Genomic DNA, 22,530 nt, shown 5'->3' with positions numbered 1-22,530 from the left:
ACTGTCACAGTTGCCACTTGATCATTGCAGATAAAGGAGGAAGTAGCAATTCTGGAATGGGTGGCTTATCTCTTGGCTTTATAACTGGATATCTTCATCTGCTATTCAGTCACTCTTTTTTATTATGGAGACATGTTTTCTGGGAAAATGCTACCATGAAGCAGGACCAATCTCCAGTTCAAGGTACCTCTTGATTTGTTCATTCCAAAGCATCCCCTGTTAGGAATTAGGGCTCAGATCATGGGGTCATCTATTCTGTAAGTAAAAGGCTGACAAAAAGTCTGTTACTTCACTGCTCTTTACATTAGGGTAATATTAACAATGGAAATCCAGTTCATTCAATAAAACAAGTGTCGATGAAGAGTCAAACTCGGTAAAATATTTTAAGAGACTTATTCTGAGCCAAATATGAGTGACCATGGCACATGACACAGCCCTAAGGAGATCCTGAGAACACGTGCCCAAGGTGGTCAGGGTGCAGGTCAGTTTTATACATTTTAGGGAGACATGAGACATCAATCAAATACATTTAAGAAACACATTGGTTTGGTTCAGAAAGGCGGGACAATTCAAAGCAGGGGTGGGGGGGTGCTTTCAGGCTATAGGTAAATTTAAACATTTTCCAATTGATAATTGGTTGAGTTTGTCTAAAAACCTGGGATCAAAGGAAAGGATATGTCCAGGTTAAGCTAAAAGATTGTGGATACCAAGGTTCTTCTGAAGTCTTATAGTGGCTGCCCTTAGAGATAATAGATGACAAATATTTCCTATTCAGACCTTAAAAGGTGCTAGACTTCTACTAATTTCTTCAGGATTGGGAGGGCTTGGAAGAAAAAGATCTAGTTATGTCAATAGAGATTCTTTACAGATGCATATGTCCCCCAACAAAGGGCAGCTTTGCAGGACCATTTCAAAATATGACAAAGAAACTTGCTTTTGGGGTAAAATTTTTTTTACTTTCTTCTTTGTCACATAATGTTATGCCAGAGTCAGATTGCAAAGTAAGCCATGATATATAGGGTTAAATAAAATCCATCTGATGAGAATTTATGGTTAGTAGGGGGATGACTCCCCAGACCCCTTAGATAAGAATTTGGGCAAAATAAAAAAATCAGAGCTTAGTCTTCACAAGTTATTGAAAAACAATGAGCTACCAATTTTATTTATTTATATTCTTTCAGTGGTCTTCAACAGGTGGCTCATGAATTCAGATATTTGACAATTTTAATGTGAAATAAATTTAAGATATTTCAACAACAATCATATAGGAAAATATAGATAAATAAGAAACTATAAAAATTATACTTTCAAACCTTTCCCTCTCTAAGACACATGGTTTACCTGATCTCACACAGATATTGAACATACAATTTAATTTTTAAAATTAATTTTTCTCACTTTAGAAAACTGGCATCTTGAGGCCGGGCACAGTGGCTCATGCCTGTAATCCCAGCACTCTGGGAGGCCGAGGCAGGCGGATCACGAGATCAGGAGATCAAGACCATTCCTGGCTAACACGTTGAAACCCCGTCTCTACTAAAAATACAAAAAATGAGCCAGGCGTGGCGGTGGGTGCCTGTAGTCCCAGCTACTAGGGAGGCTGAGGCAGGAGAATGGCGTGAACCCAGGAGGCGGAGCTTGCAGTGAGCGGAGATCGTGCTACTGCACTTCAGCCTGGGCAACAGAGCGAGATTCTGTCTCAAAAAAAAAAAAAAAAGAGGAAAAGAAAATTGGCATCTTGAAACAAAAGAAAGTGTCTGCTTTCCCCTTAAAGAATCATAAAGAAATATAATCAATTAGACTCAGCCTAGAATTTAAAGCTTAATCAATTTTATTGATTGGCTTCAAGAATTTTATTGAAATGTCATATATTTATAAATTAAGACTAAGATGATACATATACTATCTACTGATTTTAAAATACAACAAATCATTTAACTAAATAAAATTAAAGATTGTAGTCTTTTAAACTTACCAACCAGAAATAATAATAAGCCAGTGAAATAAAAGATGTTCCAATAGAGAAATCCTTTGTCATTATATGACATACATTTTAATATGTTACACAGATAATCTGTGTATTTAAAATTTAATGATAAAAATTATTTGCAACATTTAACTGAAAAATTTTTATTCAGAATTTATCTTGAGACTTGCCATGTATTAATATAATTAATGTACCTTATAAGTAAATATTGATTATATTAAATTTTTAGAATTGGGTCGAATGTGTATCTCCTCTCCTCTGATAACTTAGTTCATTCTATGAAATGGTGCTAGAGACTAAGAAATACAGAGGTTCTGTTATCAAGTGTCATGAACATCAAGTGCCTTTTTCTCCACTAATGTTAGAATGCCTCTCCAATTATCCTCTTTAGTAAACTGTGAGCTGAAAATAGTGAAGTCTGATATTGCAAACAATGTCTCCAGTATAAAGCTTTCTTGAGATGAGAATCTTTTCTAAGAACATTTTTCTTGTCACATAAAGTATGTCACACGGTGGCATATTCCAACTTAAAGTTAACGTGTACTAATATAAAGGCCTCAGCGGAATGTATTAAGTGGATTTCTTTTGGCATTGGGTAAAGGAATCTTTCAAGGATTCTGTGGATATACAAACAAGAAACAAATTTCAAAAGAAGCATATGCACAAAATTTTTATAACCGGTTAGAATCATGATCTGGACTAAACACAAACAAGTGAACCAAAGTACAATACAATACAAAGCAAAAATTAAAAATAAACAGGAAATTTAATTCTATACGATGCAGAAACTATGTGCCAATACTCAGTGTAAACATACACTATTAGGAGGAAGTTGCTGCCACACAAGCAGATGACAAAGTTTAAGCAAAGCTGAAGAAGTTAGGTAGTGGCGTGCGGAGGGATCACTTTGATTATTGGCGTAGTTCCTACCCTCCTATTATTCTGGTTACCATACATTAGTGAGGTGTCTCCAATGGGTTTCGAGGGTTACAAATACCTTCCTGCATATTAGTCTACCTTCCTTAGAACTTCTTAAGATGGGCCATTGTCTCATGATACTCAATAATTCAGGAAAATCAATAATTGGGATTAAAATAAACCAATTAATTACATACTTCTTTATCTCAGTGTGACATAAACATACATTTTCAGACAAGTTTTCATTACTGGGCAACTATGGTATCTACCCAATGTTGTGGCCAAAGTTGGAATATTCACAGTTCCCCCATACTTATGCCCTCCGTGTTTTGGTTTTCCAGATACATGCTGTTGCTTGTACTTCAAATACACTTTCCCTATATCTCTGTCAATTCACGTCTTTCTCAAAAAGAACAGAGAAGTCAAATGGCTCCTCTACTAAACCTCTAAACATATATGATTTCTCCTGTCTTGACATTTTTACCAATTCCTATTCTCATTATAAGCTATGGTATCCAACTTGCACTTCTCTTCCTCTAACACCCCTGGCTTTCTTACCCCATTGTCTACATAGCTCAACTTCTTGCAAGTTGTCCATTCTTGCTCTCTCCTCTGTCTACAGCGATTTGCCTTCTGCTCCCACTGTTCACAAAACTTCTGTCCTCCATGTATTCATTTACAATGTTTTAGCCTTGGGCTGACCATACACCAGCTGTTCACAAAATTTATGTTGAACTGAATGACACTCGAATCAATAAATAAAGGAAAAAAGGGGAACAGAAGGGGAAGCAAACAACATCCTTCTTCACATGATGGCAGAAGGAGAAATACAGAGCAAAGAGAGAAAAGACCCATATAAAACCATCAGATCTCACGAGAACTCACTATCACGAGAGCAGCAGCATGGGGGTAACAGCCCCCATGATTCAGTTACCTCCCACTGGGTCCCTCCCACGACACATGGGGATTATGGTAACTACAATTCAAGATGCGATTAGGGTGGGGACACAGCCAAACTAGATCAGTGCTACAACTGACTTCACTGTAAATGAGTTTACAATGGGTAACTCCGTATTATCTGAACCAAACAGCATAGAGAGACCTCAAGAAGAGTAAAGAAATCTTTGTCTCATGTACATGGTATACCATCAATAATGAAACTGAGGAAGATTCACGGAGGGAAGTCATCACGCTGCAGCAGGCAATTATATCTAAACCAGTGAGATATGAACAGTGCAAAGAAGAACTAGAACAAAAATACTGTCTGGCATAGAAAGTCCAGTATTAAAGACACAGAAGGCCCTACATTTGTCCAGTAAAGCCATGCTTGATTAATGCCTTGGAAACCCTGGAGACTGGATCAGAAATCTGTATATAAAATGGTTCTTCCTGGATAAAGTTGAGAGAAAAAGAAAGCTTATTGTGTTCAAGTAGAAACTGGGATAAGCTGTGGGCCATCTGGCTTTTCTGTTGCAAAAACCAGGGCTTAAATCTACATCTTTCTATAGTCATGAATGAGCAAACTGATTTTGAACAATCATCTAACAACGAAATATTTAGGATTCAAAAAGAATGTACTTATGAAAAGAATGTAACACAAGAAACTGAAAATTAGAAAATTTCCCCTTTTTACACTAAAAAAGACAGAAGAGCCATGACTTTTTAAAAAACTGGAGCAGTAAGCTTGTAGTGGGAAAAGTGATGGTGAGAAGTGCAGGCATAGAAAGGAAGCAGGTTTAAGTAAGATGAGAAAACACAAGGAAATCCAAAATCCCAAATAAAATAATTTTGCCTTAAATTTTATTATGTTTAATAGTAGACTGCTGTTTTCTTTTGTCAATTGCTGTCAGATAAGTTTTGCTCTTTTGATTTATTTTAAAAGAAACATTAACTCTTGGTTGGGCATGGTGGTTCATGCCTGTAATCCCAGCACTTTGGGAGGCCGAGGTGGGCAGATCGCTTGAGGCCAGGAATTCAAGACCAGCCTGGCCAACATAGAGAAACCCTGTCTACTGCAAAATAAAAAAAATTAGTCGGCTGTGGTGGCACATGCCTGTAATCCCAACTACTCGGGAGGCTGAGGCACAAGAATCACTTGAGCGTGGGAGGTGGGGGTTGCAATGACATCACCACAGTCTGGGCAACAGGGGGAGACTCTGTCTCAAAAAAAAAAAAAAAAAATTAGTGGCCGGGCATGGTGGCTCACGCCTGTAATCTCAGCACTTTGGGAGGCTGAAATGGGTGGATCACAAGGTCAGGAGTTCAAGACCAGCCTGGCCAATATGGTGAAACCCCCTCACTACTAAAAATACAAAAATTAGCTGGGCATGGTGGCAAATGCCTGTAGTCCCAGCTACTTGGGAAACTGAGGCAGAAGACTCGCTCGAACCCAGGAGACAGAGGTTGCAGTGAGCCGAGATCGCACCACTGCACTCTAGCCTGGGCACAGAGAGAGAGCCCGTCTCAAAAATAATAATAATAATAAAAATAAAATTAGCAAAAAATTAGCCAAAAATTCATTAAAAATAAATATAAATATATTTATATATACATTTTATTCATTAATAAAATCATTTTATTCAATAAAATGAATTCATTATATATAATGAATGAATAAAATGTATTTTTCCATTAGGGATTTAAAAGGAGCATTGGATAAATTAAAAAATTTTTTGTCTTTTCTTTTGAAAAAATAAATTTAATGATGTATTTTTGGACTTTGATTAAAAATAATTCAATTTTATCTGTAAGCATAAATATTAGAAATACTCAGAGAAATTTAGCAGAAGGATAAGCATCATTTTGTAATGACAATAATTAAGTAGGGCTGCATAAGTGGAAGAATGGACATATAAATGCCTTTTTTTTTTTTTTTTGAAACGGAGTCTTCGCTCTGTCGCCCAGGCTGGAGTGCAGAGGTGCTATCTATGCTCACTGTAAGCTCCGCCTCCCGGGTTCACCTCATTCTTCTGCCTCAGCCTCCGGACTGGCTGGTACTACAGGTGCCCACCGGCTGATTTTTTGTATTTTTTTAGTAGAGATGGGATTTCACAGTGTTACCCAGGATGGTCTCAATCTCCTGACCTCGTGATCCGCCCGCGTCGGCCTCCAAAATTGCTGGGATTACAGGCGTGAGCCACCGCGCCTAGCCAGATTTTTTTTTTTTCCAGAGGCTCCCTCTGTAGCCCAAGCTGGAGTGTAGTGGCGCGATCTCGGCTCACTGCAGCCTCCGCCTCCCGGGTTCAAGCAATTCTCCTGCCTCAGCCTCCTAAGTAGCTGGGACTACAGGCACGCACCACTACGCCCGTCTAATTTTTGTATTTTTAATAGAGACAGGGTTTCACCATGTTGGCCTAGGATGGTCTTGATCTGACTTCGTCATCTGCCCGCCTCTGCCTCTCAAAGTGCTGGGATTACAGGCACGAGCCACCGCAGCCGGCCGACAGATTTTATTTCATCTGTAAAGTTCTATAATGTCATTCACAATAAAATAAAAAGATATTATGCAAACCAAACAAAATTTTGCCAGATATGTGATACACTATACATAGAAAATAATTGCATATCAGTAAGAAAATAACTATAAATAGATAAAATCCATGAATAGTAACAAAAGTATAGGATATTAGAGAAAAAGTATTTGACAGAATGAAAGAAAAAAATGGTTGTTTTAGGATAAGTGGTCTGAGATGCATTCATGTGTTACTTCATTAGCTTGTATGTATTTAATATATTCTATATGTGTTCAACAATTGATGCAGATTCAAAAACAAAAAAATGTTCGTTTAGTAAGGAGATACACAACAACAAAAATTTCCTATAAAAGTGGATTACAATAATGAAAGTATCTAGAAATCTAATTTTAAAAAGTGGTACTCATTATCTGGGATCATCTGGGAAGAACTCATTTAATAGACCATTTGAGTAGACACTTGAGGATGAAGATAAATTTTCAGGCAGATTAATAACAATGGGGAGAGTTTTCAAGGCAGAGGAGATGACTTTTATAAAACGAGGAAAGCATGAAGTTTATGTAGCTTGAAAAGTGTGTTGTATTCAGGTAGTAATGCACTGACTCCATCACTCTTGCATTTTGTTTGTTTGTTTTGAGGCGGAGTCTTGCCCTGTCGCCCAGGCTGGAGGGCAGTGGCGCGATCTCGGCTCACTGCAAGCTCCGCCTTCCGGGTTCACGCCATTCTCCTGCCTCAGCCTCCGGAGTAGCTGGGACTACGGGCGCCCGCCACCATGCCTGGCTAATTTTTTCGTATTTTTCTTAGTAGAGACGGGGTTTCACCGTGTTAGCCAGGATGGTCTTGATCTCCTGACTTCGTGATCTGCCCGCCTCGGCCTTCCAAAGTGCTGGGATTACAGGCGTGAGCCCCCGCGCCCAGCCACACTCTTGCATTTTTTATTGGAGGCTCTGAGGAAAGGTCTGCTTCCACGTTTGTTCAGATTGTTAGCCACACTTAGTTCCTTGAGTAGGTATTATTGCAGTCCCCATTTCCTTGCTGGCCGTCAGCTGGGACCAGCCTTTCCTCCTAGACTGTCCCTGTTCCTTATGCTTTTTTCATGGGCCTTTCCAGCAGCACGAACATTTCAAATATCTCTGCCTTTCCCTCCTGCCCCGTCTCTCAGAAATCAACTACACATGGTCTCAGCTTTTAAGGGCTCATAGTGATTAGATTGGACTCATATACGGTCCTCATTTTAATATTCATAATTCTAACTGCAAAGTCTCTTTTGTCAGGTAATACAGCATATTCAGGTCTCAAGGATTAAAGTGTGAGCATCTTTGGGGGTTTTTATTCTGCTTACAACATTTACCTAGAGTATAAATTCAAGACATAAGGCAGAATCTTATGAGAAAAAGAAAGTACTATTTTGAACATACCTGTGGCAATCCTAAATGGGAATTAGATTCAGATTTGGCAGTTCTGGATAAAAGTGAAGGCTGAAGAAATAATTTGGTAGTCATCATGTTATACATTTTGTAAATGAAGCCATTATTACATATGAGAGGGTTAGCATTCACCCAGGGAGACTTCAAGTCAGTTTACAAAGTTAATATTCTATGGCATGTTCAATAGTAGCACCACCTTTTATTCAATTGGATAGTAGCCTGGGGTGAAGATTAAAAAGAAAGAAATATAACTATCTCTATATGGAGATGCCATGAGGTATAAAGAATTTGTATATAGATATATATGGAGAAATATTTATGCATACAGGAAATCCTAAGGAATCCACACACGCACGCACACGTGCACACATTAAGATGATAAAGCTGTGATTTTTTAGGCATAACTTTGTAGTAAGATGTTACATCAGGAACAGGAAACTACTATAGCAAAGCACCCAGAACAGTCTAAATAGTCTTGAAACAGAAAATTTTCTACCAAACTATATTAATTCGGTGTTGCATTAGCATAAAGATAGACATATAAATTTAATGAAATAATATTGAGCATTAATCAATAAACCTTATATTTATGAGCAATTGATTTTTAAAAGGATGCCAAGAAAATTCAAAGGGGAAATAGTAGTCTTGTCAACAAATAGTGTTGGGACAACTGTACATATGCATGCAAACAAACGAAGTTGGATTCTGACCTTACCTTACACACAAAGTTGATCAAAACCTAAATGTAAGACCTAGAAGTAAAAAACTCATAGAAGAAAACATAAGCAAAATCTTCATGACCTTAGATTAAACAATAGTTTCTTAGATATAGCACCAAATTACAAGCAACAAAAGAAAAAAAAGGGGGCTATATTATGCTTAATTAAAACTAAATTTTTTCTTTAAAAGAAAAAGCCAAGGAAGGGAAAAGACAACCTACAGAATGGGAGAACAATTTTGCAAATCATACATCTTCTAAAAGACTTGTATTCAGAATATGTATCTTACAACTCAATAATAAAAAAACATATAACCTATTTTTAAAATGGAGAAATGATTTGAGTAGAAAATTCTCCAAAAAAGATACACAATAGGCAAGAAGCACATGAAAAGATACTCAACATTATTGGTCATTTGAGAAATGCAAATCAAAACCACCAGGAGATACCATTTCATACTATGATCAAAAAGAAAATAACAAGTATGTTTGAGAATGTGGAAACAATCCCACATAAATCGCTGGTGGGAACGCAAAACGATGCAGCCATGGTAGGAACAATTTTGCAGTTGCACTTTGGGAGGCCAAGGCGGGAGGATCACCTGAGGTCAGGAGTTTGAGTCCAGCCTGGCCAACACAGTGAAAACCCATCTCTACTAAAAATACAAAAATTACCCGGGCGTGGTGGCAGGCACCTGTAATTCCAGCTACTTATGAGGCTGAGGCAGGAGAATTGCTCGAACCTAGGAGGCGGAGGTTGCAGTGAGCTGAGACCACGCCACTGCACTCCAGCCTGGGCGACAGAGTGAGACTCTGTCTCAGAAAAAAAAAGAAAAAGAAAGAAAGAAAAGAAAAAAAAGTTAAACAGTGTTATCAAATGACTGGACAATTCTACTCCTTAGGAATATCTCCCAAAGAATGAAAAACATGTCTACAAAGAACCTGGACACAAATGTTTATAGCAACATTATTTGTAATGGCCATAAAGACAGTGCAAATGTCCATCAATTGATGAATGGATAATCAAAAAGTGGTATATCCATACAATGGAATATAATTTAGCCATAAAAGGAATGAACTACTGATACATGATACATGTATGAATCATGAAAACATTAAGTGAAAAATGCCAGACACAAAATGTCACATATTCTATAATTCTACTTATATGAAATGCCCAGAAAAAGCAAATCTATAGAGACAGAAGGTAGATCAGTGATTGCCAGGGGCTAGAGAGAAGAGCAAACAAGGACTGGCTAATAAGAGACACAGGATTTTTTTGTTGTTGTTCAGTGATGAAATTATTCTGGAATTTGCAGTGATTATACCATAACCTTCTGAATATACTAATCACTGAGTTGCATCCTTGTTAAGGACAAATATTATGGTGTATGAATTATATCTTAATTTTAAAAAGTACAGTAAATTAAAAACAAATTGTGTTTCAATAATAAAATATTATTTTAATATCACAAAATCAATTATTGTAATTCACTATATTAACAATATGGAAGAAAATCTCATCTCAACAGATGCAGAATATATTTTTTAATATGCAAACAACAATGAAATGTATTTAATCTGGTGAAAGATAATCATAAAATCTTACAAAAATATTATAATTAATAAGGAAATATGGAAAGCTTTCCTTATGGGATCAGAAACAAAATTCCCTAGTCAGTTCAATAAGAAAAAAAAAGTAAGAATTAGCAAGAAAGAAATACACAGGTCATTATTTGCTAAGGACATTATTGTATATGTAGAATATCTAAAATAAAATATTAGAACGAATAACTAAATATAGCTATCAGGATCACTGGTTACAATATGAGCACATAAAAGTCTATTTTATTTCCTTACACTACCAATAACCAATTACAGAATAAAATTTTATAAATATACCATTTAGAATCAATATTTTGTTAACTTCATAAATTAACTGGAAAGTTTTTCTTTTGAAATATATTTTCAAAAATTGAAGAATTCTTCAAGTCAGTTAAATGGTTTTAAATATTTCTGGCCTACAACAACAAGGTTAAATCTGCATGTGATAATGGATCTCCCTACTGATACTAGAACTATCCCATTACTGAAAACCATTTTTAGATATAAATGGCAGGCACTTAAGAATTACTTCATTTCCTGTGGTGTTCCTTTAAAACAATTTTCCAAAACAGGCAAATCTTGCTCTCTCTCTCTTTCTCTTTAAAAAGTAACACAGGCTTATTTTTAAAGTTGCAATCAAAACAGACAGGTAAAAAGTAGAAAATTAAAATGACCCATCAGGCTTGTCTTAAAATTAACTAGTGATAATATTTTGGTATATGTCCTCATATGTTTTAACGTATTTTTTCAGGTTTGTTCTATCAAAACCTAATTTAACAAAATCTGAGCAAATCATCCACTTCCTTTTCTAATATCCTTTTATACTGTGTGTTTATACATGTGGTTATGAATATATGTTCACAAGTGAGGGTATATATACACATACACACATACATGTGTGAGATAGAGACATAGGCAGAGGCAGACAGAAAGGCAGAGAATAGCTAGGAAAGTTGAGCTCAATTTAATATTGTAATTATAATATGCATGCTATTTTAAAATTGCTTTCATTTCTGAATTTAGACAGCATATAGAACTTGATAAATACAGTAATTAGAAATCCGAGAGTTATTTGCATACTTACACATCTGAAGTATCTTCCTATGTACAGATAAACATTAACCACAATTATCTACACATGTTGCTTGAATTTTTTCCTCCAGCTGTCATGTTAAAGCCATGATTGACACTTGTTTGCATACGATTTGAGAATTTAATATTTGGTTGAAATTCTCTGATCCTAAAACATACTGCTTGGAAATACACATTTTGTTTTCATACACATGGGATGTTGCACGCATACCGAAATTAAAGAATTACAATTAGTTGGTACCCAGCTTGCATCCTTAAGCAATCTTTGTAAATACTATTTTTCTTATTAATGCTGCTTTCTGTTCTCATTAAGTTTCAACAGAGTACTCTCAGTAATTTAAAACATATTGTTCCTTCAGTTAAATAGGCAATTTCCCTCTCAACAAATGCCTGGACCTTAAAGTAAGGTGTGGAAATGGACAAAATAGTCCCAAATATTTTAACCAGCAATATAAACTTTTGCAATGCTTTTATAGGATGTTTAAAATAACAAGAAAGACTTGGTTCTCGTGATTTTCACCAACGGTGGTTACAAACAGTCTTCTTCTTTACTATGTTTGAAAGGCATATTTCACTTCACATATCCTTTACTTGCTGCCAGAGCCTTAATATTGCTAGGGGGAAAAGCTTACCTAGCTCCGTGTTTGTAAATGTCAGCTAGCCAAAAGATATTTGGAAACCTATAAATGTTCGCCTTTCTAACATTTGCTTAAAGCTATCTGGAATTAACGTTCTCCTCTTTCCTCTTCTCTCACCTCAAGAAAAAAAAATCTGTATACAGAAGTTGACACAAAATATATTAAATAAAGCTGGTATTCAGCCCTCTTGCATTCAAGCAAGAATTACCCATGTATGTAAAACAGAAGAAAATGTCTTGATAGTATTCTGTACCCGTGCTGTCAAACTACCCTTTGATATGTCTGCAATTTTCTCAGTAAAACACATTTTGTTTATTTTGGATTAAGAGCAAGCTCTTGCATGTCTACCAGGATTTATTAGCCTGGTAAAGAGCAGCACTACACAGAAACAACGAATATAATGTGCTCTTTGCTATGGTTTTAAGTTCCCCTTCAAACTCATGTGAAATGTAATTGCCATTGAAACAGTATTAAGAGGTGGGGGCTTTAAGAAGTCATGCAGGCTGTTGTCGTTTTTTTTTTTTTTTCCAGGTTTTTTCTATCAAAACCTAATTTAACAACATCTGAGCAAATCATCCACTTCCTTTCCTAATATCCTCATTTTCACTACTCTCTCCTTCAGCCGCAATGATCCATTCCATCATCTAACATTAATTTAGTAAAGATTTACTAAATCCCTTCTCTGTACAAATCATTTTATAGGATCTGAGTAAAGATACAGTGATTAGCATATGGCAGCCCTTGTCCTTTGACATGGCAAGAACAACTTTTCCTATTTTCAAGAGCTTGAGTATTCTGTCACTAATAGATCTAAAACTATCCAAGTTTACCTGGCCAACTTTTTCCCTTAAACTTCTGCCTCCCTTTTACAAAACTTCAAAAAAAAGAATTCCAAATTTAATCATGCTGTTAAAACAGATTTTCACATCATCCCGTAGTTACATAAAGGGCAGTCTCCTTAGCTCATACTTAAAATCATATCTTTTCAACCCTTGAGTATTGTTACCATTACCTCAAACGATCATACAGCTACTGTCTTTCAGGTTATTCACAATACAATAATTTGAATATGCAAAAACACCACAGAATTTAAATGAAAAGTAACTAACGCACCCTACTCCCCTCAAAAATCAATTAATAAAATTTGTAATTTCAACAAATATTTTTGAATATTTACAAATCAGAAACAAAAATGGCTAACTGGAAACACAAAACAGATAAAAGATTTGGTAAATTAACCCAACATGCAATTTTGAAAAATGTAAATTTAATTTTTACTTAATAAGTGATTTCTCAAAAAGTAACATTAATAAAGGGCATTGTCAGAAATTTTGAGTCTTTTAGGAGTGAAAACATCTGTTTGAACTAAAACTAGGAGACACAGAATGATGAGAACATATGAAGTTTTAGCTAAATATCCATGAATTACAAGGTTATTCTCTGTTGGTTTGGAGTACTCATTTACACACTAATACTCAGCTTTAGGAATTTAGGGCTCATTAACTTTGCTAAACATGGAATTTAGCGTTTTTATAAAAACTACTTATTTCTTCACTATTTTTATATCCAAGTATACTCTTCTCATTACTCACAAAGGACAAATCTTCACCAAGCCCCTGCCCCTACAGTCAGGATAGTAATTTCATTCAAGCATCCCTTGAAAGCAATTATTTATGCTCGCTGCAGAAATTAGGGTAAATTTGTTGTGGTCCCATTTATTTTCTGGAGATTGGCGATTACATGTAAAATAATTTGAACGCTTGATAGATAGACTCATAAATATTTGGTTAATACAAGTAAAGCAGGGGGAGGCCAGGCGTGGTGGCTCACGCCTGTAATCCCAGCACTTTGGGAGGCCAAAGTGGGTGGATCACAAGGTCAGGAGACCGAGACCATCTTGGCTTACACGGTGAAACCCCGTTTCTACTAAAAATACAAAAAATATTAGCAGGGCGTGGTGGCGGGTGCCTGTAGTCCCAGCAACTTGGGAGGCTGAGGCAGGAGAATGGCTTGAACCAGGGAGGCGGAGCTTGCAGTGAGCTGAGATTGTGCCACTGCACTCCAGCCTGGGGAACAGAGCGGGACTCCGTCTCAAAAAAAAAAAAAAAAAAAAATGGAGCGGGGGGGCCGGGCGCGGTGGCTCAAGCCTGTAATCCCAGCACTTTGGGAGGCCGAAGCAGGCAGATCACGAAGTCAGGAAATCGAGACCATCCTGGCTAACATGGTGAAACCCCGTCTCTACTAAAAATACAAAAAATTAGCTGGGTGTGGTGGCGGGCGCCTGTAGTCCCAGTTACTGCGGGAGGCTGAGGCAGGAGAATGGCGTGAACCCAGGAGGCAGAGATTGCAGTGAGCTGAGATAGCCCCGCTGCACTCCAGCCTGGGCAACAAAGGGAGACTCTGTCTAAAAAAAAAAAAAAAAAGTAGTTACTTTCTTCTTCATCCCTTTCAGTGTGGCCACTATTTATAATGCAGTTTGGTTCATTAGTGTTTGTATTCCAAAAACACCCTCAGCCTTCCTATCCTAGTTTTAATGAATTATTAGGGTGAAACATAATAAGAGACGGAGAGTCGGAGCTATACAGAAAGGTCTACTCAGAGGTGCTTTGTTCCCTCCTGTTCTGTTCCCACCACTCCTACTTTCCACTACTTTTTCCACTGACCCTGTGAGCATCATATTTATTGTTAATGGCAGTTACATTTTTACCAAGTGCTTACTATCTGTAGGCACTTGGTGTGTATTGCTTCTTCTGGTGTTCACAGCAACCTCTTGAGGTAGGCACTATTATTATCCACCACCCCCCGCCCCGTTTTTTGAGACAGAGTCTCACTCTGTTGCCCAGGCTGGAGTGCAGTGGTGCGATCTCAGCTCACTGCAACCTCTGCCTCCCAGGTTCAAGCAATTCTCCTGCCTCCGCTTCCCAAGTAGCTGCAAGTACAGGTGCGAGCCACCACACCCATCTAATTTTTGTATTTTTAGCAGGCATGGGGTTTTGCCATGTTGGCCAGGCTGGTCTCAAACTCCTGACCTCAGGTGATCCCCATTTTTTAGATGAGAAAGCAGAGTCCCAGAGAGCATAAGGAGCTTGTCCAGAGTGGCATCTCTGATGCATAACCAGTACTCAAACCAGTATTTTTCTGACACCAAGGCCTGTGTGTAAACTGTAAAAGGGCTGTTTGGTACCTGCTTTCCTAAAGTTGTCTGATCCCTTCTCAGTCCAGGTCTTCCTGAAGCTTGGCACTTCTGAAGTCACCTTTCTGAAAACATTCTGGTAACTGTTAGATCCCTTGTTGTAGCTATTCATATGTTCTGTGTGGTTAAACAAGGTTCACAGTGGGCCACCTGGCCTTTGGAACTTGGCTGAAGAGGCTGCCTTCAGTTCATCCTCCCCACCCCCGTTTTCAAAACATGGGTTTCCATGTGTTCGTTGTAAATTAGGAAACATAACCATGTTTTGAGACTTCATAGAAAACAAACGTCTGGGGTCACACAGGTTAAAGGAGGAACCAAATTCAGCACTATCACTGTTCTATTCGGCAGGCAATTCTGGGGCCTTCCTGTGTCTCAGGTTCTGTACTAGTTGTTTCAGGACTTTGGGATAAACACAAACTATCCCTGCCCTCAGGGGGATTAAGGTCAGGTGTACAAATGACTCTAATGCGAGGCAAGGCTGGATTCAGTGCTGGAAGAGGAGGGCATACCTAACACTACGGGAATTCAAAGAGGAAATGATCAGAATGAGGAGGGAGAGATGGGTCATTCCGGGAGAAGCTTCAGGGAAAGGCAACATTTGAAATGAGACTTTGGAGAGTGAGGGAGGTTTGGGCAGATGGATAGAGAGGATGCAAGGCCAGGGGAAAGGTTTGAGCCAGAAAGTCAGCTTGGGCAAGTGCATGGGTAAAAAAAGAAGATCCACTTTGGGAGGCCGAGGCAGGTGGATCGCCGGAAGTCAGGAGTTGGAGACTAGCCTGGCCCACATGGTGAAACCCTGTCTCTCCTAAAAATACAGAAATTAGCTGGGCATGATGCTGGGCACCTGTAATTCCAGCTACTTGGGAGGCTGAGGCAGGAGAATCACTTGAACCCAGGAGGCAGAGATTGCAGTGAGCTGAGATCACACCACTGCACTCCAGCCTGGGCAACAAGAATAAAACTTCATCAAAAAAAAAAAAAAAAGAAAGAAAATCACAAGGCAGTGTGGAGAATGGTGAGTAATCTAATTTGGTTATTGCAGAGAGGATGTAGAAGGAAGTGACAAGAGAGAAAGCCAGACAGGTGGCTTGGGGTCATCTTAAGGGCCTTTGTGCCAGTTAGGATGTTCCAGACTTCAGTCAGGCTGCCCAGCTCAGACTGGCTCAGACAATGAGGGGGTTTATTGGCCGTGTAATTGGGAAGTCCAGAGGCTCTAGGACTACAGAAAATTATTATTTAGTATTAGTTTGACAGCAACACCTTCTGTTTTCTGGGAGCAGGAGATGCTTGTCAAGCTGTAGGTCACTGAGTTGAATATTATCCTGCTTTATTAAATTGCCAAGGGCACGGTAATTGTTGAGAGGGGAGAAGTACACATGAAAGAAAACATGACCAGCTTAGAAACGTCAAATGATTATGACGTTGTTATAAAGTATTATAATTCTTTGAGCGTCTACTATAAGTAGAGAAACTTGAGTTCCAGGTTGTCGGCTTGGTTCTGCCAACAATCAGGAACGTGGTTTTGCATGAAGCCCTTCTTTCTCCTATAATCTTCAGTGTCCTCACCTGCAAAATGAGGCCTTTATATATATATATATATATATATATATATATATATATATATATATATATATTTTTTTTTTTTTTTTTTTTTTTTTTTTTTTGAGACGGAGTCTCGTTCTGTCGCCCAGGCTGAAGTTCAGTGGTACAATCTCTGTTCACTGCAAACTCCCCCTCCTGGGTTCACAGCATTGTCCTGCCTCAGCCTCCCGAGTAGCTGGGACCACAGGCACCTGCCACCACGCCCAGCTAATTTTTTGTGTTTTTAGTAGAGATGGGGTTTCACCGTGTTAGCCAGGATGGTCTCCATCTCCTGATCTCGTGATCTGCCCGCCTCAGCCTCCCAACGTGCTAGGATTACAGGTGTGAGCCACCACGCCCGGCCAAGGCCTTTATTATACTATGGTTCCTACTGTTTTTTAAAATACTTTTATTAAGTCCAACATTTTTATTAAGAACATTGCTTTTATACATGCCTATTTATGAAAGGGGTTTTCGAGTGTTTACCACTTTTTATTAGAAATAGAGACAGTAAGAATGTTTGACTTAATTGACACAGGCATAATTGAATGGGTATAAATGGCATGCCATAGAAAGAGAAAATTAAGTTGAGCTACTCTGTTGGTTTCACTGATGAGGGGATACATCATTCAAACAGCCAGGAATTAAATCCGTCCAGCTCACAAATGGGGAAACCAGCTGTGTCTGTACCCATGGCCAGCCAGATTGAACACAAATCAGGAAAGTCAATAACTTTTCCTCAGTTCTGAGGGACTTCAGTGGCTGCGGTTCATTTTCCTTTTGCTTCTGAAACAGTGCAAGTTGATGCTCGCCTGGACAGAGCGGCAGTGAGTGGTGGCGTCTGAAGGCCAGGTCTCTGTTGAGATGACTACACGTCGTCTCCCAGTGCCCAATGCATAGAAAAGATACACTACTAAGTGTGAGATGCTCAGTGAAAAATAAAATCTGGGGTTGAATCATCATGGGGGATACTGCATACTCTGTTTCCCCCCTGCAGATTTCCAATGCTCATTAGTTTATAGAGACTCTGAGAATTCCTACAGCAAAGGCACCTGCCAAGGTACTTACAAACTAGTTTAGCTAAACCAGACTTTCAACAATTGGTTACTAAAGACCACTCAAAGTCTGTCAACACTCTGTCATCTCTATGTAATGACAGAAACATAGAAATTCAGGGTAAATGTTTAGAAATTTCTATAGAAACTTGACATTCTCCCAGCATCTGTATGTGACATCAGGGGACTTGTCTCAATGAGCAGTTACAGACCAACTCAGGTTTTGTCAGACTCGATGGAAAGATGCAGAGGCTGTGAGCTGCAAACGAGTCACATACACAAGGACCACATTGCAAGCTGTGTTCTTTAAGGTTAGTTTGTCAACTATAGTATAATCTCACACATCTGAAAAATGGGAACATCTATTCTATAAAGTCTTATTTTTGCAATAATTTTAATTTTAAATCAAGCCAATGTTAGCATTATTAGTGAAAACAAAAGAAAGTTGTGTTATTTATTATTAAACCTAATTTGAGAGTGAAATAAATTGTATTAATTTTTTTAACCAATAAAAGATGCACCTTGTAAACCAAGAGATGATTATGAAAGTGATTCTGAGGACATGAAGACCAAAGGAGTTTGTCCTCGTTTTACTCAGAAGTACTATTTCTAATGGACAGATGATCCCTGACATACAATGGTTTGACTTATAATTTTTTGACTTTATGATGGTGTGAAAGTGATACGCATTCAGCAGAAACCATACTTCAGTATTCAATAAATTACATGAGATATTCAACACTTTAAAGTGGGTTTGTGAGAGATAATTTTTGCCCAATGGAAGGTGAATGTAAATTTTCTGAGAATGTTTAAGGTAAGCTAGGCTAAGCTATGATGTTAGCTTAGGTGTATTAAATGCATTTTAATTTAATTTAATTTAATTTTATGTTTTGAGACAGTGTGTTTTGTTCTTGTCACCCAGGCTGGAGTGCAATGGCATGATCTCGGCTCACTGCGACCTCTGCCTCTTGGGTTCAAGCGATTTTCTTGCCTCAGCCTTCCCAGTAGCTGGGATTACAGGTGCGCACCAACATGCCTGGCTAATTTTTGTATTTTTAGTAGAGACAGGGTTTCCCCATGTTGGCCAGGCTGGTCTCTAACTCCCGACCTCAGGTGATCCACCCGCCTCAGCCTCCCAAAGAGTTGGGATTACAGGCTGAGCCACTGCACCCGGCCTTAAATGCATTTTCGGCTTATATTTTCAACTGATGATGAGCTATAACTCCTTTGTGAGTTGAGGATCATCTGTCTTGAATTTGGTTTTACAGGCATAACTGAAGGTGAAAGGACAGAATCACCATGTGTTACTGGCACAGATGCATCGGCTAGTGAAGAAAGAAGACATTCAAACTGTAAGTTGCATTCACGTGGGAAGCACAAAGAATTAAATTCAAAACAATGAAACATTAGAGAAAAGCATGGAGTTAAAACACAACAGAATCAGATGTTTACTATTTCTCATTTTAACACTAGTGCTTTGCGGGCTTCTAATAAAGTTGTACTCCAGGAGGCTAAGACTGAAAAGTGACACTAGTGAAAAGTAGCATTGAAATAGTTCCTTAGAAAAGTTGGGTGAATGTGGGGCAAAGATGCCACTAAACTTTAATTTTCCATCGACACACAAATTCAAAGTTTTCCAGAACTGGCAAGTAAAATGGAAGATCCACTCACAGGACACATGCAGTGTGTGAGGGGAATGCTTTTCAGCACTTCTTGATGGATGCACAAATAATGCCAATGTGGTAAATGTCTTTGGTAAATGTGCAATGGAATGTAGTGGTTGTGTGAAGGAAGAATTTTGTTTTCAGCTTCATTTTTGATAAACACAAGCAGCTCTGGACTGTGTGAAACCATGGAGCACCGCACAGTTAACAGAGGTGGTTTGGAGTTTTTTAGCTTTGCATAAGAGGATGTTCTGATGCAGAATCTACAGTGACAGGAAACCATTCTGGACAAGTTACAGAATTAAGGGGCTTGTGCCGGGATGGAAATAAATCAATGACTTCTGTCTTTGAGAAGGTTTTTCTCTGCTCCTCTGTGATGGTTAATTTTTTTTTTTTTTTTTTTTTTTGAGATGGAGTCTCGCTCTGTCCCCCAGGATGGAGTGCAGTGGCGCCATCTCGGCTCACTGCAAGCTCTGCCTCCCGGGTTCATGCCATTCTCCTGCCTCAGCCTCCCAAGTAGCTGGGAGTACAGGTGCCTGCGGCTAATTTTGTGTATTTTTAGTAGAGCCAGGTTTCACCATGTTGGCCAGGATGGTCTCGATCTCCTGACCTTGTGATCCACCCGCCTTGGCCTCCCAAAGTGCTGGGATTACAGGCATGAGCCACCATGCCCCACCTTTTTTTTCTTTTCTTTTTTTTTTTCTTTCTTTCTTTCTTTTTTTTTTTTTTTTTGTTAGTCCTTCCCTCCAGTGTCGTGGAGATAATTGGAAAATATTTTAGAGCAAAAAAGTTTATTTCTCCTTCTTGTTGTTAGCAAAGAAATTTATTTTTCCTTCTTGTTATTTATTGGCCTTGGAGACATACACCAAATAGCTCATTCTACTTCTGAAATTTTGTTTTGATTTCCCTGGCCCTCCCCACGAAGTATTTCAGATTAGCAGGGAGTCAAGCATTGTCTGTCTGTCTGTGAATAAAATATTTCAGGCTGCTTTTGCATAATATACATGCTCTTGCCTTTACGAGTCACACTCACATCTTCTGGTTTTGTAAGACACCAGGTAGAGAAGAAAACAATGTTTCTGAATTCTGCTTTATCAGCCCAGTAGAGAACTCCTCCCTTCCCTGAACTGAGGGCCACATCTAAGGGGTTGAAACAGGGCCAGTTACATTCTATGTTCCCAACATAATTGTCCATGCACGGATCCGATCAAGTTAAATGAGAAATAGGATATTTATTCTAAAAACAAGTTATTGCTACAATAATAATAATACTATAGTAATATTATTATTCTAATAATGATATTAGAATAAAAACTGGTTATTAAAGTACTAAACAGTTGAAAATCTAAATGTCTCACAAGGTCAACTATAGCAAGTATATAAGATTTCGTATTAGTCGCACGTCAAAAATTATATCCATAAAAGTAATGACATATGAAAACAGTTTATTGATACAGATATAACAAATATAACTAAACTGTGCTGAAATGTATTTTAAAATAAAATATGCCAAAATATTATTGATGATGACTTTGGATGATGGTATTACCACTAAGGTTTCAAATTTAATTTGCCTCTTACTTCTGAGTACTTTTATAAATTTTTAAATAATAAAATTAGTGTGTTAAAAAATATCAAGTGATATCTAGAAATCAGAAAAAGGCATATTGCCAGAGGAGGACCGAGTTAGTAGATTTGAGGCTCCATTAAGTTTTGTTTATGATCAAAAAACAAACAAAAACCAGGCAACAGTGGCAAAAAATATCTCACTTCCTTCCTGGAAAAGTAAATGAGACTACAAAGAATTTCCAAACTTAAAAACTATACATTTCAAGTCTGTTCATAACTAGTGAAGTCACAGTTTCTGAAAACAATGATAAAATTTTAATTGATATTTAATTCATATTTTTTGTTTAAAAAACTATCAGTATTGGAAGATAAATTTCATGGGAAAAGCATTGAATCATTAAGTTTTGCAGTCACAAAGGTAAATATAATTTGCTTAATGCTGCCCTCAGTTTACAATGAGTCTTTAGTATTTTCTAAGCTATGAGTTCACCAAAATATAGGATTGTTTTGCTGCATATAATTTGCTCAGTGATCAAACACTAAGGAGTTACCTATGTTAAGATGTGAATAATAAATTTATGCAAAATTTATGAAAGTGTACATTGTAAAGACAATAAAACTTTCCATTAAATTGGTGGGAAAGGAGCTCAAAACCTAGCTGGGTGATTCATTATTTTAATGACTTCCTGCTTTACTGCAAAACCTCTCTCTTCATTCGGTGTTGGTAGTTTGAACCCCTGTTAAGGATATAGGCTCACAATGAAGCTTCTATAAATTTCTGGACCTCTGTCATGCTGGCATGTATGTCATTCTCCTTTAGGAATGATGAAGAGACTGGAAAGCGGTTGCTCCAAGGGAAGGGATAATTTTGCAAACCTGAGCTGTCTAAGCTCAGCATGAATTGGAGTGGGCTGCTGACTCAGGCTAGCAGAGGCAGCCAGGAAACATGCAAATCTGCAATCCGTTCTGCCAGGTCTGTCGCAGCAGGTGTCACTAAAGGCACCCCTGTGTGCTTGTCACTGTGGCAGCCTTGACAAGGAAGGTGGAAAGGAAAAAGAGACCCAGTGCTGAACTCCAAGCAGAGATGGGGCTTTTCTCTATGCATATTTTCCCTCCCCTCCCAGCCTGCATTTCCAATAACATATTGATTTATATTTGTATTATGAAACAAAAGTGGTTGTAATCAGATGTTCTTTCCTTTTACACACAATGTTAGCTCCTATTTACATTCCTAACTGAACAATGTCTAAAGAGGTATTTAAACTGATGTAAAACGCAGATAATCTCATGACCAAATGCTTAGCGCAAGAAAAAACTTCAATTTGCAAGAGAAGTCCCTCCAAATACAGAAAAGACCAGTATTGTAAGAGGTACCTTAACTAAAATGTAGCAATGTAAGGCGCAGAGCAGGAAGAACTTTTAAGTCTGAAACTTACAACAAGTCAATTTCATAGTCAGTTTCCCTGGGCCTTCCACAACAGCCTCCGGCACCTGTTTTCTCTACAATGGAGGTAACAATAGTAGCTATTTCAGAGCAGGAAAAGGCTTAGAGCAGTGCTAGAAGAGGGTCGTGGCTATATAAAGTTTAGCTATTTGTATATTGTAAGAAA

General features: G+C 38.1%; 1 long non-coding RNA gene across 1 annotated transcript in view; it reads left to right on the top strand.

The window, feature by feature from the left end:
* LOC105376704 (uncharacterized) overlaps positions 1-22,530 on the top strand; it is a 51,865-nt gene that overhangs the window by 20,284 nt on the left and 9,051 nt on the right. Inside the window, exon 2 of the long non-coding RNA XR_932048.3 lies at positions 18,956-19,039. This is a non-coding gene — a long non-coding RNA (uncharacterized LOC105376704). The remainder of the gene's footprint in view (positions 1-18,955; positions 19,040-22,530) is intronic.

This window comes from Homo sapiens, chromosome 15, assembly GCF_000001405.40.
Source record: "Homo sapiens chromosome 15, GRCh38.p14 Primary Assembly".
NCBI lineage: Eukaryota > Metazoa > Chordata > Mammalia > Primates > Hominidae > Homo > Homo sapiens.
Note: the sequence above shows the minus strand (reverse complement) of the source record. Positions and strands in the feature narration are given on the sequence as shown.